General features: G+C 37.3%; 1 long non-coding RNA gene across 2 annotated transcripts in view; it reads right to left on the bottom strand.

Annotated features, from left to right (window-relative positions):
• Positions 1 to 1,861: 1,861 nt before the first annotated feature.
• The window catches only part of LINC02735 (long intergenic non-protein coding RNA 2735), a 29,601-nt gene continuing 17,027 nt past the window's right edge, over positions 1,862 to 14,435 (bottom strand). The window contains exons 2-4 of one of the 2 annotated variants that reach the window (NR_110136.1): positions 8,689 to 8,849; positions 5,097 to 5,216; positions 1,862 to 4,343 (exon numbers count right to left, since the gene is read on the bottom strand). This is a non-coding gene — a long non-coding RNA (long intergenic non-protein coding RNA 2735). The remainder of the gene's footprint in view (positions 4,344 to 5,096; positions 5,217 to 8,688; positions 8,850 to 14,435) is intronic. The other variant, NR_110137.1, reaches the window with a different exon arrangement.

The following is a 14,435-nucleotide window of genomic DNA, read 5'->3' as shown; positions in this document are numbered from 1 at the left end:
ATGACTATATTCCTTCCCAGAGTTTGGGTTGGTGCTGAGCTTCTAATAGATGCTCATGAGATGCTTGTGGATTTATTTCTGTTAATACTGCATAAATTGCTTGAACCAGAACAGAACTTAAAGAAATAAACAAAGAGAGCTTACATGTTTGTTATGTAGGAAACAACACTCCTACGCAATACTTCTACACATTCAGGAAGAGAAATGTTAAATGTTGAATGAACACATTCAGCAGAAATGTTGTATCTCCTGAACAACATTTCCAATAGTATACAAATCAATATGACTCAAGAAACATATAATAATTTTTAAAGAATATAACTATCACATATTTTATATATATATAATGCTACAGATGCTCTCTTTTGCCAGGCCATGCCACAGTGTTAAGTAAAAATAAAATCTTTGTAAATATAGTGACTATGGAGAAAAATAATGGAAGTGCTTTTAATGGTGAAATGGTTCAGGGCTATCATCTCCAAAAAGGCTTCTCCACCTGCCAAAGCCCTTGGAAATCTCTTCCCTTCAACCCCTTCTAGTATCTGTAGTGTGCTTCTATTCATTTGGCAGATAGCCAAGGTGACTTGGACTGTTAATTACCTAATAAACAATTACCTAATAAACTATTATACCGACAAGAACGAAGACCATATAATGTTAGATGAACCCAAAGGGAATGAACTTGAGAGATCCTAGATATATGAATATAAATATAAGAAACTGTGAGTGGGTCTTGAGTATTTATGGGGAACAGTGTCATTTTCATCACAATAATTAAATACAATTACAATGAAAAAACTTGGAAAGCATGATGATTAGCCCATCTGAAATCTTTACGGTCAAATAATTCAAAGGCATTGAGGAAAGAACCAGGTAAATTTTAAATTGGCCCCTTTCCAGCACTCCCTTTTAATTTGGTACTGTGTGCACCTCCTGGAGTAAAAACTCAAGGTGGCAACATATTCAGCTCACATTTATCGTGTTTCTACTGCTGGTTACATGCTTCACATTTGTTATTTTATTCTTCTTCATAATAGACAGGTAGGTATTTTCATTCCAACTCATAGATTGAGCTAAGTATTCACTATGTCTCAGATATTGTGTTAAATGTTTTGCATACCTTATCAAATTTAAAAAAGTGTATGAGATAAGAACTGTTGTTTGCTATAATTTATGACAGACTGGGAAGGTTAAGTCCTTTACTGGATATTATAGCCATATCATTAACTGACAGATCCAGTTGCTTCCAGGTTTATTAAAAATACTAATTTTTCATATTAGGTCAACTAGTCTCAGTAGGAAGTCTGGTTCTTTGCACTTGGCTGGAATTAGTTTATCTCAGGATAATGCTATGTGTTATCACATGGTAATTGGAAGCTCCAAATAACAGTGACTTATATTCTTTAGAAATAAAAACTGAAAACAGAAATTTACCTTTCAAAGAAAATGGTATTTAATGATATAATATGTTTGACTGAGGAGAATCTGCTTGATGTACAATAATTGTTATTTTCCTTAATAACTGCTACCTTCTGTGTACTTTGAAACCTCACTTTCCAGGTTAGCAGTGGATTCCTTTAATATTATTGTACTCAGATATCTTAGCTGTGAAGTCATTTTAGTTATTGAAACAATCTCATTTGGGTTATTTTCACATAGTGCTTCTATTTTAAAACAGCCTTATAAATGGATCTCTCATGAATTGTTAATGGGAATGTAAAATGGTACAGTCTCATTATAAGACAGTTTGGTGTTTTTTTTTTATAAAGGTAAATATGCACTTACCATATGAATGATCCAGCAATCACATTCCTGGGCATTTCTCCTAAAGAAATGAAAACTTATGTTCACACAAAAAGATGAACACAAAAGCTCATAGCAGCTTTATTTATAACAGCCAAGAAATGGAAATAATCCAGATATCCTTCAACAAGTAAATTGTTAAATAAACTTTGGTACATCCATACAATGGGCTCCTATTCATCAGTAATAAGGAATAAACTATTGATACATACAACAACTTAGATGACTCAAGTGCATTATGCTGAATGAAAAATAAAACAGTAAACAAAACCTCAAAGGGCAATATACTGTAAAATTATATTTATATACAATTATTGGAATGACTAAATTACAGTAATAAAGAACAGATCAGTGTTTATTAGAGACTGGGGTTGAAGGAAGCGTGCGCCTATTAAGGGGTAACACATGAGAGAGTTTCTTTGTGGATTTGGAGCAGTTCTGTATCTTGATTATGGTGATGGGTACTTGAGTCTAGCCATGTGATAAAATGTCACAGAACTATATACCAAAACAAATAGACAAAAAGAGTGCACGTATATCCTGGTGAAATCCAAATAATATCTGCACCTGAGTTAACAGTATTATTGCATCACAGTCACTTTTCTGGTTTTGGCCATTTACTATGGTTATATAACATTATTATTGGAAGAAGTTAGCTAAAGAGTATATGGGGACTTTATACTATAATTTTTGCAACTCTTGTGAGTCTTAAACTGTTTCAAAATAAGAAGTTATTTTAAAAATCAATCTCATATTCAGTTTAAAGCTCCACCCACACTACCCCAAAACCTTCCACAAGCTGTCCTGGGGATTCCAAGTGCTTTCCTTTCTATTCCTTTTAATGCTGGGGAGGAGAGGAGAAAGTAAAAATAAGATGTTTCTATTTACAGCTGCTCTTGGTGAGTTGGCTTTCTTTTTCTTTGTTGTAACTGCTGTTCCCTTGTATCAGAGTTTTTCAGCCTCAGCACTATTGAAATTTTGGACCAGATACTTCTCTGTTGCTGGGGATGGAGGGTGGGGAGCCTGCCCTAAGTATTGTTGGCCTCTATCCACTAGATATCAGGAACAAGCTCCCACTTCCTCCCCAGCCAAGTCATGGCATTTAGTCTGTCTTCGGATATCGCCTATAGTTCATAAGGGACAAAGTCACTTCTGGTTGAGCATCACTGGCTTATATGCCATTCCCATAATGGCAAGGATGTGGAGGCAAGGAAAGTGTGGATGAATGAGGCTCCCATATGCTTCATCAAAGAAAAGACTCAACTCCTAACAATGCTTGAACATTTGGCTTCAACTTTTAGCTGACTCACAGCTGATGACAAAATACTGTTCTCATACCGTGCTGGTCTGCAGTAAGCATGCAGCCACTAATTTTGTCCTCCTGCCTGACTCTCTCTAGGGATTACAGGATTTCTCTTCTTTCCTGGAGGGGCTGCAGATGCTCTCTTTTGCCAGACCATGACACAATGTTAAGTAAACATAAAATCTTTGTAAATATAGTGACTATGGAGAAAAATAATAAAAGTGCTTTTAATGGTGAAACGGTTCAGGCCTATCCTCTCCAAAAAGCCTTCTCCACCTGCCAAAGCCCTTGGAAATCTTTTCCCTTCAACCCTCCCTCTCTAATATCTGTAGTGTGCTTCTATTCATTTGGCAGATAGCCAAGGTGACATGGACTGTTAATTATCTAATAAACAATTACCTAATAAACTATTGTACCAACAAGAACGAAGACCGTATAATGTTAGATGAACTCAAAGGGAATGAACTTGAGAGATCCTAGAGTTCAACTCTTTCATTTAACAGATGAGGCACAGAGAGGTTAAGACTTACCCAGCATTATACATTGAGTAAGTTACAGACCCAGGCTGTACCCAGGATCTGTAACTCTGTGTCATTGACCTATAAATAAAAGTATTTCCCAAAGATAAGGGAGTTAGATTGGGGCCATATAATATGGTAGTTAAGAGTGTTAACTATGGAGCCAGATAGATTTGGGTTAAAATTTCTGTTCCACCATTAAAATGACTGTGTGATATTGGGGAAAATTTGTCATCTCTCTGAACCTCATCTGTAAAATTGAGATTATGATAGAATCTAATTCGTAGACTTATTGGTGCAGATTAATTAACAATGTATTTAAAAGTTTTAGGACAGTGGTTTTCCCATAGCAGACACTCCTTCCTCCTCATTATCACCTTTACCATCAGCACAGCAAGTGCTTAGGAGTTTGAAGAACTCTTTCACATACATTGAATCCTCCTAACCTACATGTGGTTTTTCAAAATGGGTGTTAGTGACCTTTTATAGATGAGGAAATAGGTTCAGAAGATGAAGATACTTGTTGAGATACACATGTCCTGTCAGCGTGAAAACACAAGCATAGGTCTTCTGACACCAAGACTAGTGCTTTTCCTTCAGGGCTTCCCACCTCCCAGTGACGATTTTTGTCCTTGATGGCTATCTCGGGGTTTTGCATGTGCCGGATTTAGAATAAATATTTCCTGGGGCCAATTCTTGTATTGTTTCTTCCTTCTCCCCTGCCAACATATTAGATAAGAAATATTAGGTGACGGGTCCTTATTTCATATACCTTAATAGGCCACACATATATGGTTGGAGCTGAATCCACAACTTGTTTTCCATAAATACTTATTGTTGTACATGAAATTGTGGTAGCCATGGGAGATGTATTGTGAGCTCTGATGTTATAGAACTTATTATCTAGAGAACATATTATCTGGGGAGCTTATTATCTTGGGAGCTTATTACCTAGAGAGCTTTGCAAAGGTCAGAAGCAGAAGTCCAAATTAGAACAAATGTCAGGCAGTGGTGTGGGGCAGGAAAAGATCACCAGACCAGGGCTCATTAAATGCTCTTTGTTACATCAATTATGGACACACAAAACAACACAACCAAAAGCAAAGGAAGAAAGAGAAGAATACATGGGGGAGAGAGGGGAGGTATCTTCAATAATTCAAAATGCCTGAAGGAAAATGGTCTCTTACCATATGATTAACAAAAGGACCATGTTTCTTTGCTTTTTATTTGTGCAGCATAAATAATAAAAGTTGTATTTAATAAGGTTTTAACACGGAGTTGAGATTTATATGACTTTCTCATTATTCTCTAAATGAAGAAACCTTCCTCTGAGGCTTGAGCCACAGATATAAAAATGCTTACTGGAGAAGTTGAAAATGAAGGCCTGCAAACCTGGAGCTTTTGAATGAGACAGAGAGAGCAGTAGTGTGCAAAGGGTAAGAGAGGTAGCGAATACAGGATCATGTTTGTACCTTGGTACCTTGAGAGGATTTGGATTTTACTTGAAGTACAACTGGTCATCATTGACAGGTTTTAAGTAGCTGAAGGACATGATCCAATTTGAGATTTTCAAGGATCACTCATTCTGGATACTGTGTAGAAAGTAGATGGAGAAGAATGTAAGTGACGAGTTAGGAAAAGCTTGTACTAGCCCAGGCAAGAGATGATGGTAGATTGGGTAAGAAGAGTGGCAGTGGAAATGGAGAATTGTCCAGCCAAATTCATCCTTCAAGATTCTTCCCTGATTTATTGCTTTTCTAACCAGGAAAGAGCCCTAAAGTTGAATTTTAAAAAGGCAGTTCCTGGGTCCATATAACTATTCCACTATATTTCTATAATACCTAATGCTTAATCCTATCAGAACCTGTATTGCATTGCCATTTTTTGCATGTCAAACTGCTCACATATCGTTAGTTTCATATGGTTCAGTGTATCAATGGAAGATATTCTTGTGGTGTGTCTATTTTATGCTAGCCTTAGCTGGTTTCTACTACACCGTATGTGTCTCTTTAATTGTCTAGCTTTGCTACCACACAGGCTACCCCCTTCCCAGTGTTACTGGCGGGTCTATGTTCTTAGAGCTCCCAAGATGGCGGCAAGCCTTTTGTTCTCTGACCTGGGGTTCTTGGCTTCATGGATTCCAAGGAATGGAACTTTGGGCCATGCGGTGAGTGTTATAGCTCTATTAGAAGCCATGGGTCATGGAAGAGAACCGTGGAACCCAGTGACTAGTGTTCAGCTTGATTAGGACGAACCTGGGCACTTAGCCATGCAGGAACATGGCGAGCCTCTAGCCCTATTGGGAGCAGCAATGGGTGCCTCGCTGGATCAGAAGTGCAGTGGATGCCCTGCCGGATCTGGAGGGGTGGAAGTCAGTGGGGGGTCTGTGACGGCGATGATCGGCAGTGGTGGATGGTGAGCAAAATCTCAGCTCGAGCCAGACAAACACGGACCAGAAGAGTGTGCAGCTGCAAGATTTAATAGAGTGAAAACAGAGCTCCCATACAATGGGAGGGGACCCAAAGGGGGTGGCCACTGCCGGCTCTAATACCTGGGTTTATATCCTGATCATTGTTCCTCCCCCTGTGCTCTCAGGCAATAGATGATTGACTATTTCTTTACCTCCTGCTTTTTAGCCTAATTGGTATTTTAGTGAGATCTCTTTACTACCTGATTTGTTGGATGTGAGCTGAGATACAAGCCCCATGTTTAAAGGTGGGTGCAGTCACCTTCCCCAGCTAGGCTTAGGAATTCCTAGCCTAGGAAATCCAGATAGTCCTGTCTCTCACTGACACCCTGCCCTCACTCCTGCCACACATACACACTTAAGGGCAGAGACTGTGACTTTCCTATTTCCATTTTCAACCACCTGTACAGTGACTGGAAGATTTTAGCAGGAAGAATATTATTATATAGCATTATATATAGCAAGAAGAAGCTGGCCCAAAAAGGTTGGTGTCTGTGGTTAAATCATGGGGAAAATGAATAGAATCAGAAAAGATTCAGAATCAAATACTCTGGTTCAAAATGCTACTGTCCTCATTTTTGGTAATTGGTTGAAGAGATAGAGAAAGGAGAAGAAGGGGTAAGAAGAATTCTGTAATTTGCACCAAAACCTAAAAGGGCACTGATATCATCACTTGAGCCAAACTCCCAAGAATATCTATAGGAAATCATTCTAAAGTTGAAATCTAGCTCCTTGGGGAGCATGGTGTGTTTTACAAAATTAATTTGTTCTTTGGAACATTCCCCCCAATGGTTCAAATAGAAATGGTTGGATTTGAAAGAAAATGGTTGGATTTTGGTTTACAGTCTCCACTAGGGGAATGGGCTGAATGGTGCACCCAGTAACAGTCTTTTACCAAACAAAGTGGTATTGGCAACTTGAGATCAGGGTATGCGGCTATGCAAAAGCAGTATGTGTTCTCACCTGGGCCTGCTGCTGTGTGGGATTGCATTTCATGAGGAGGGAGGTTACACTGCAATGGAATTTCCTCTGCTAATCCTGTGAGATCCACCATGACCTTGTCAGCAACCTAGTGCATGTGTTCTCTGAACTTAATACCATGAAACCTGAATATCTGAGACAGGTCTCAGTCAGTTTAGGAAGTTTATTTTGCCAAAGTTAAGAACGCACCCATGACACAGCCCTCAGGAGGCCCTGAAGACATGTGTCCAAGGTGGTCGGGGTACAGCTTGCTTTTATACATTTCAGGTAGACATGAGACATCAATCAATATGTGTAAGATGTACATTCATTTGGTTCAATAAGGCAGGGCAACTCAAAGTAGGGTTTTCCAGGTTAGAAGTAGATAAGAGATAGAAAGTTGCATTCTTTTGAGTCCTTGATCAGCCTTCCACTATATACACAATTTAGTCTAGTTAGGCAAATCTGCATTTTTACATAAACAGTAGGGCAGAGGAAACAATCAGTTATGAATTTGCCTCAGGTGAGTGTCAGAATGATGACTTTTGATTTCTGTCTGTCCTTTGTCCACAAGGGATTTCCCTGTGGGCAAATTGTGTGGGAGGAACATAGCTTCTTATCTTTGTAACTATCTTATTTAGGAATAAAATGGGGGACAGGTTTTTGCCCTAAGCAGTTTCCAGCTTGACTTTTCCCTTTGACTTAGTGATTTGGGGCATCGAAGATTTATTTTTCTTTCACATTTCCCCCCACGCTTTTCTTTTTAAAATCTTTTGGAGAAAGCATTTGAGAAGAAAATGAGTCTCTGGTCTCAGGTTTTGTCTAATCTCTCATGGCTAGGATGGTTTATCCCCAGATGAGTAGGTCCCACTGTATAAGGAAAGCTCATTTTTAGCAGGTTGTGAAGTCTCACGTTCTATGAAGAGAACATAAGAGAAGAAGGGAGAACAACAACAACAAACAAAAAAGAAACAATCCTGGAAAACTGTAATAGGTCATATTACTCTGAAGTCCGTACATCAGTAGGCAGGTATGAAAGTGTATGTAAATAGGTTGTTATTTTCTTCTGAAGTTTAAGTTATCTAGCTTCAGTTTGCAGGAGTTTAAGAAATCACAACTTAGTTTTCAGTGATTCTAAATTAGGAAAAATGGGGGTGGGGAGTGAGAGGAACAGAAAGAAGGAAAAAAAATGAAAACATTATTTTGGAGACTTGTAGCCAGGAAATATTAGGATTCAGTCCAAACTGTGGAAAATAGTAAAAATGGAAAACCATTAGGCAAGACTAGAATCTAGTAATAGGTATGATATACTTTCTAAAACATAATTTTTCTCTCTCAAGTTTCCCATTTTTGCTAAAGACAAATCATGGTAGGACCAATTTGCTTTATTATATGTGGACTGATTATCTGTATAAAGTGCAGCAAGAGTAATTATTTTTTTCATATAGGCCTTTTTAATTGGCTTTCATGGAACTTTGTTCCATAGAAGGAATCTCAGGTAAGACTTCTTTAAAGCCAAACCCAGCCACGGCTTTGTACCATCAAATAACTATGAGTTGGGTAGATTCCTCTCCTCTTGAGGTCCCAAGATAACTTGGGGCTCCTGAGCCTGTCAGAAAGTGGCATTCTTTACTTACCACAGGTCAGGAACTCTGTCCAGAGACTGTGTAGACAAGGTAAGAGAGCAGTTTTCCCAAGGGGCTTTTATTAGCTCCAAAAGTCAAGTTTGATTCCTTAAAGGGAAGCACACTATTCCAGTCAAAGCCTTGGTAAAATAACCAGTTTCTGCAATGGTGTCCTGTTGCAAAAGAAAACAGGCATATTGCACTTATGCCAATAAATATACTGCCATAAGTTAAGAATACTCATAAATAGTTTCCAAATTCTGGAAAAATCAGGCAGAAAGAAATAAATATGCTCCAAATTTTGTTCACAGGAGTATACTTTACCTCAATTCCTACAAGCTGTAAATAGCTCAAAAAGTTTTCTTTTCTTTTTCTTTTTCTTTTCTTTTTTTTTTTTTGTGAGACAAAGTTTCACTCTGCCCCCTAGGTTTGAGTTCAGTGGTGCAATCTTGGCTCACTGCAAACTCTGCCTTCTGAATTCAAGTGATTCTTCCACTTTAGCCTCCCCAGTAGCTGAAACTATAGGCACGCACCACCATGCCTGGCTAATTTTTGTATTTTCTGGTAGAGATGGGGTTTCACCATGTTGGCCAGGCTTATCTCAAACTTCTGACCTCAGATGATCCACCCATCTCAGCCTCCCAAAGTGCTGAGATTACAGGTGTGAGTCACCATGCCCTGCCCAAAAAGTTTTCTTGACTCTGAAAAACAAAACAAAGGATCAGCAATGTCTTAAGCAAAAAAGTCAAAACAGATTATTTCAGTCTTCTATTAGTTCAGTCCGTGCAGTAAACTCCTGTTCTGCATGATATTCATGAACATTCCATCTCTCCATGAGAGTACTGAGTTTTTCCATCTATTCTTATGTCACAAGCTCAAAGGTATCAGAACTCTGCATTCAAGAACACCTGTTAGAGTTTTATAGCTGGTTATAAAACTACCCTCTAAAGAAGACCAAAACAACAATAGTCTGTGGATGACAAAATGTTTTAAAGGTGCCATAGTCAAAGACACAATTGACAAGGAAATTTGTTATCTCTCTGGCACACAGTATTTTAACATAACAATTATAATTATTACTGATAAAGTGCCCTAAATCATATCAGAATTAGAGGAGTTTCCCATAATTTTGAAACACATACTAATAACATATTTAAACAAATACAGTCCAAAGGAAGCCAAACATCATTTCATATTTGACAATGCTTCCTGTATGATTTTTATACTAAATAAGCCAAATATGTCATTTTTGGACTTTAGGGAATATAATATCTTAAAGGATTAATTAGATCAGAAAAAGACATTATAATTTATAATTTGATTTTGGAAAGTTTGTCAAATACCAAAGATTTAAAATGCTTGATATCACAAAATAGCATCACTGGTCATTGTAAAATAAGTTATTCATTTAACCAAAGTGATAACTCAAGGATTTCAAAAAAAAGGTGTAAAACCTTTATTCTTTAAGAAAGGAGATTTAATATTTCAAACAATAAGCCCCAATAGAAACAGCATGAGGCAGTGTGCTTTGATATTAATGGTTTATTTATAGAGAAACTGAACTTATTTTATCTCTCAAAATTGGCCCTTACAATTTTACATGCCCATCTCTTCTGTGATAGTTCCCAGGCCATGAGAAGTGGAATAGCTTTAATTTCTGGCCTGGTGTCTTATGAACACAATTTACTTTGATTTGCATCTTTTACTGGGTCTGAAGATGAGGGTTTAACTGCCATCAGTGTTAAGATTTAGCAAGACTTGGTGTCCTTTTTAGAACCAGGCGTCAAAGCCCTGTAACTTAATGGCACAAAGACTTAAAGGCACATACAGAAAGTTATATGTATGCAATAACCTGAATTAAATTTTTTTTAATCGCAGTTTTTCATAAGCAAACCAAACTTAGGAATAATGACATAGGAATTATTTCAATAAAGCATAAGATCTGTTTATTAGGCCAGTTACCCAAAGGCAAAAGAAAAGACCTTCTGTAGTGTGATTGCTCTTCCCTATGAGGAATATTATATTGGAAGGAAACATTTCCTTTAGACCTTTAAGATATAACTTTTTTTTTTAAAGCATCAAACCACAACAGTTAGAACTCAAAGGGGGGAAAAAAACTTACAGGAACTGAAAATGAGTTGAAGGATAAAGTTATTATTTCAGGACTTTTAAAGGGGGAGAGAAAGCTGAAAACAGCAAGATGCAATAAAAGTTGAATTTTGCAGAAAAAATTATAGTGTCTTATAATTTATTAAGCATGTAAAGCAATATCTTAAGAAAATTTTGTAGTTCAAACCAGTTATTTAGTGTATAATTATTTTAATCAAAACCAAATCTTCAGAAAAATGATTGTAACTTCCCTTTAATTATAGAAAACTTGGTCATATAAAAGATTTTTTAAATAAGTCCTCTTATTATGATTTACACAGAGCATTCATGGCATGCTTGAACTTTCTAGTTTGTCCTAAATGTCTCTGTTTCTGAAACAACCAGTCATTTTATTCTAGGATAAGATTTACTGTACAAGATTCTGTCTCATATAAAATTATTTTTGTTTAAGCATTCTTACCAAAAATACCTCTTCATTTCTATAACTTTCTCTATATCTCTCTTATTTCCTGGTTCCTTTTACTTTGTTTTATATATAACCTTTAAATAAGCTCTGAATTAGAACAAGACATTTACGTTTTAATAAGAACATCTTTTTAAAGTTTTAAAAATAATTTTTAAATTTGAAAATTTCTCAAACACTTAATATCTATTAATAACTTTAGATCCTAAATTACATGACAAGTTTGTTTACAAGCATTTAATCTGTTACATTTACCTAATTAATATATTTAATAGTTTACCTAGATTAACTGTGATAGTCATTATTTAAAGTTATTTCCCTGTTAACCATTTTTATAGCTGTGAATTTCAAGTGTTACTCAAGAACTTTAAGGTTAAATATAAAGGTATATTTTTAAACGATAATTCAGGATTTAGATGTTTTCATTAAACCAACAATATTTCATGTCTTATTTATCAAAAATTACACAAGCAAAGATCATTCTGTCTTGGGCTGTGTTTTATAGTTTTGTAAACTTTAAGGTCAATCTCATAGTATTCTGCAGGAATAAGCAAAAAACTGCTTGACCAATAAATGCAAATAAAAATGCTAACAGTTCTTAAGACAGTTCTAATGTTATTTTACCAATAATTTTAAAGCCAGCTTATTTATTAAAAGCTTACTTAAGTCATGTGATATTGGAAAAGCATTTGACTTTTTTTTAAAGAGAGTATTTGATTTAAGTGCTTTTATTTTTCTTTAAGCCAATTAGAGGTATTTTATATATTTTCAGTAGTGAAACATTGTGTACACAACACATAAATACATAAACGTATTAGGCACGCCAATAGAAGCGCATCTTACAGATTCATAAGACCTCTTCTTTTTCTTATCTTAAACTTGCAAATTATTGATAACCTTTTTCATTACCCTAGGCAGTTGTCAGCTGAACAGCTCTGAATTTTCAGGTTAAAGGAAACCACTCTTAGGTGAAAATCAGATAGTAAAATTTACATCTCAAACTATATAGAGAAAAAAGCTGGTGTGCTAAAGGGAAATGAAAATCAATTTAATTGCCAGTTAAACATAAAACATAAAATTATAAAAGTCTTTTAAATATATATATATATATATATATTTGCACACACACACATACACACACAAAAAAGATTCTATAGCTTTTACTTTAGAACTCTAGCCATGAGATAGATAAAATTCACTGGCTTCCAAAAAAAAGCTTGGATTCAAATAGTGGTTTTTATCTCAGTAGAAAAGTAACAGCAGATTTAAAGCAGGCAGAAAAGAAAATAGATGAAAAGAGAACTTAGGAATTCTAGAGAGCTTGGGGGTCTTTTTCCTTGATGCAATAGACCATAACATTTCCATTTTACACAAACACTATCTAGCAAGTAGAGGTGCCATAAAACCGATGGAGTACCTGAAAGGGGGTCATTTTCTCCTCATTCATAGATTATTTGTTTCCCACTTCTTTTTTTCTTAAAAGGAGGAACTGAGCTGTGGACTAGGGTTTTGTAGAGTGGGTGAAAGTGGGCTGCTTGCAGGCGGGACTCCACAGTGTGTCACCACTGAGTCCTTGTCACCCTCTTATGTGTCTCAGTTTCTCTCTCTAAAGGTCTAGCACCTCCAGGAGGGCTCAAGTGCCGAGTGACCAGCTCCCTTGTGTGCTTCCTGTATGAGTCTTTCTTTAAACTAATTTTGTTGGGGGTTCCCTGTAGGGCCTCTGTATGTCACAGGGGGTCAGGACCCCCTACACTCCAACAAGGTCCACAGTCACCCAAAGAGTGCCTTTCGGTTGGGAGGAGCAAAATGCCCTTTCTCTTCTGAGCTGAGGAAACTCAGTCTCTCATTTACCTGTGTAAATAACAGTTCAGTTCCTCACAAAAATGCACACAGGCAAGCCAAATCAAGATTAATTTTGGGAGAAAAAGCAATGGAAAAGACCCTTTAGAATGCACTTCCAAATTAAGAGTTGGATCCATAAACAACTTCCTAGGAAAGAAAATAAACAACAAAACAACCAAGACCACTTTCTGTAAAGTATCCTTATCCACCCCTAAATTTGTAGCTCCCATATGACATTACACAAGCCAAGGTCAAATCATCTCACAGTACAAGGTCATCCCTGGTTCCCCTAAAGCCAAAGAGGTCAGGTAATACAGTAGAGAAGAGCAGAGCTTTAGACCTAAGAAATATCTTTCTATGACTCTTGAAACCCCACAAAGAAAACAGAACACCTCAAAATAGGTGAGTGGCACCTACCCCCATGATTCAACCATCTCCTACTGGGTCCCTCACACAACATGTGGGAATTATGGGAGCTACAAGATGAGATTTGGGTGGGGACACAGAGCCAAATCACATCATTCTGTCCCTGGCCCCTCCCAAATCTCATGTCTTCATTTTTCAAAACCAATCATGCCTTTCCAAAAGTCCCCCAAAGCCTTAATTCATTCAGCATTAGCTCAAACGTCCAAAGTCCAAAATCTCATCTGAGACAAGGCAAGTCCCTTCTGCCTATAAGACTGTAAACTCAAAAGTAAGCTAGTTACTTCCTAGATACAATGGGGTACAGGTATTGGGCAAATACAGCTGTTCCAACGGGGAGAAATTGGCCAAAACAAAGGTGTTACAGGCCCCATGCAAGTCTGAAATCCAGCATGGCAGTCAAATCTTAAAGCTCCAAATGGTCTCCTTTGACTCCATGTCTCACATCTAGGTCATGCTGATGTAAGAGGTGGCTTCCCATCGTCTTGGGCACTGCACTTGATGGATCAGCTGGTGTCACCCAGATTGATTAAGTAGCTCATCTGATCTTGTGGTCCCCACCCAGGAACTGACTCAGTGCAAGGGGACAGCTTCAATTCCCTATGATTCATCTCCTACCTAACCAATCAGCACTCCTGGCTCACTGGCTTTCCCCCATCCACCAAGTTGTGCTTACAAACTCTGATCCCAAAATGCTCAGGGAGACTGATTTGAGTAACAATAAAACTCTGATCTGCGTGAATGACTCTTTCTATTACAACTCCCCTGTCTTGATAAATCAGCTCTGTCTAGGGAGTGGGCAGCGTGAATCCATTGGGTGGTTACAGTTTGAGCCACAAAGATAGCTCAAGTTGGTACCAAGCACTAACAGGAAATTTACCAAAGGTCAGGGGTATCTGCACTCAGAATCCCTTCATGGTTA

Source organism: Homo sapiens, chromosome 11 (genome assembly GCF_000001405.40).
Source record: "Homo sapiens chromosome 11, GRCh38.p14 Primary Assembly".
Taxonomy (NCBI): Eukaryota; Metazoa; Chordata; class Mammalia; order Primates; family Hominidae; genus Homo; species Homo sapiens.
The sequence above is the reverse complement of the archived record's forward strand: the minus strand, read 5'-3'. Positions and strand labels throughout refer to the sequence as shown.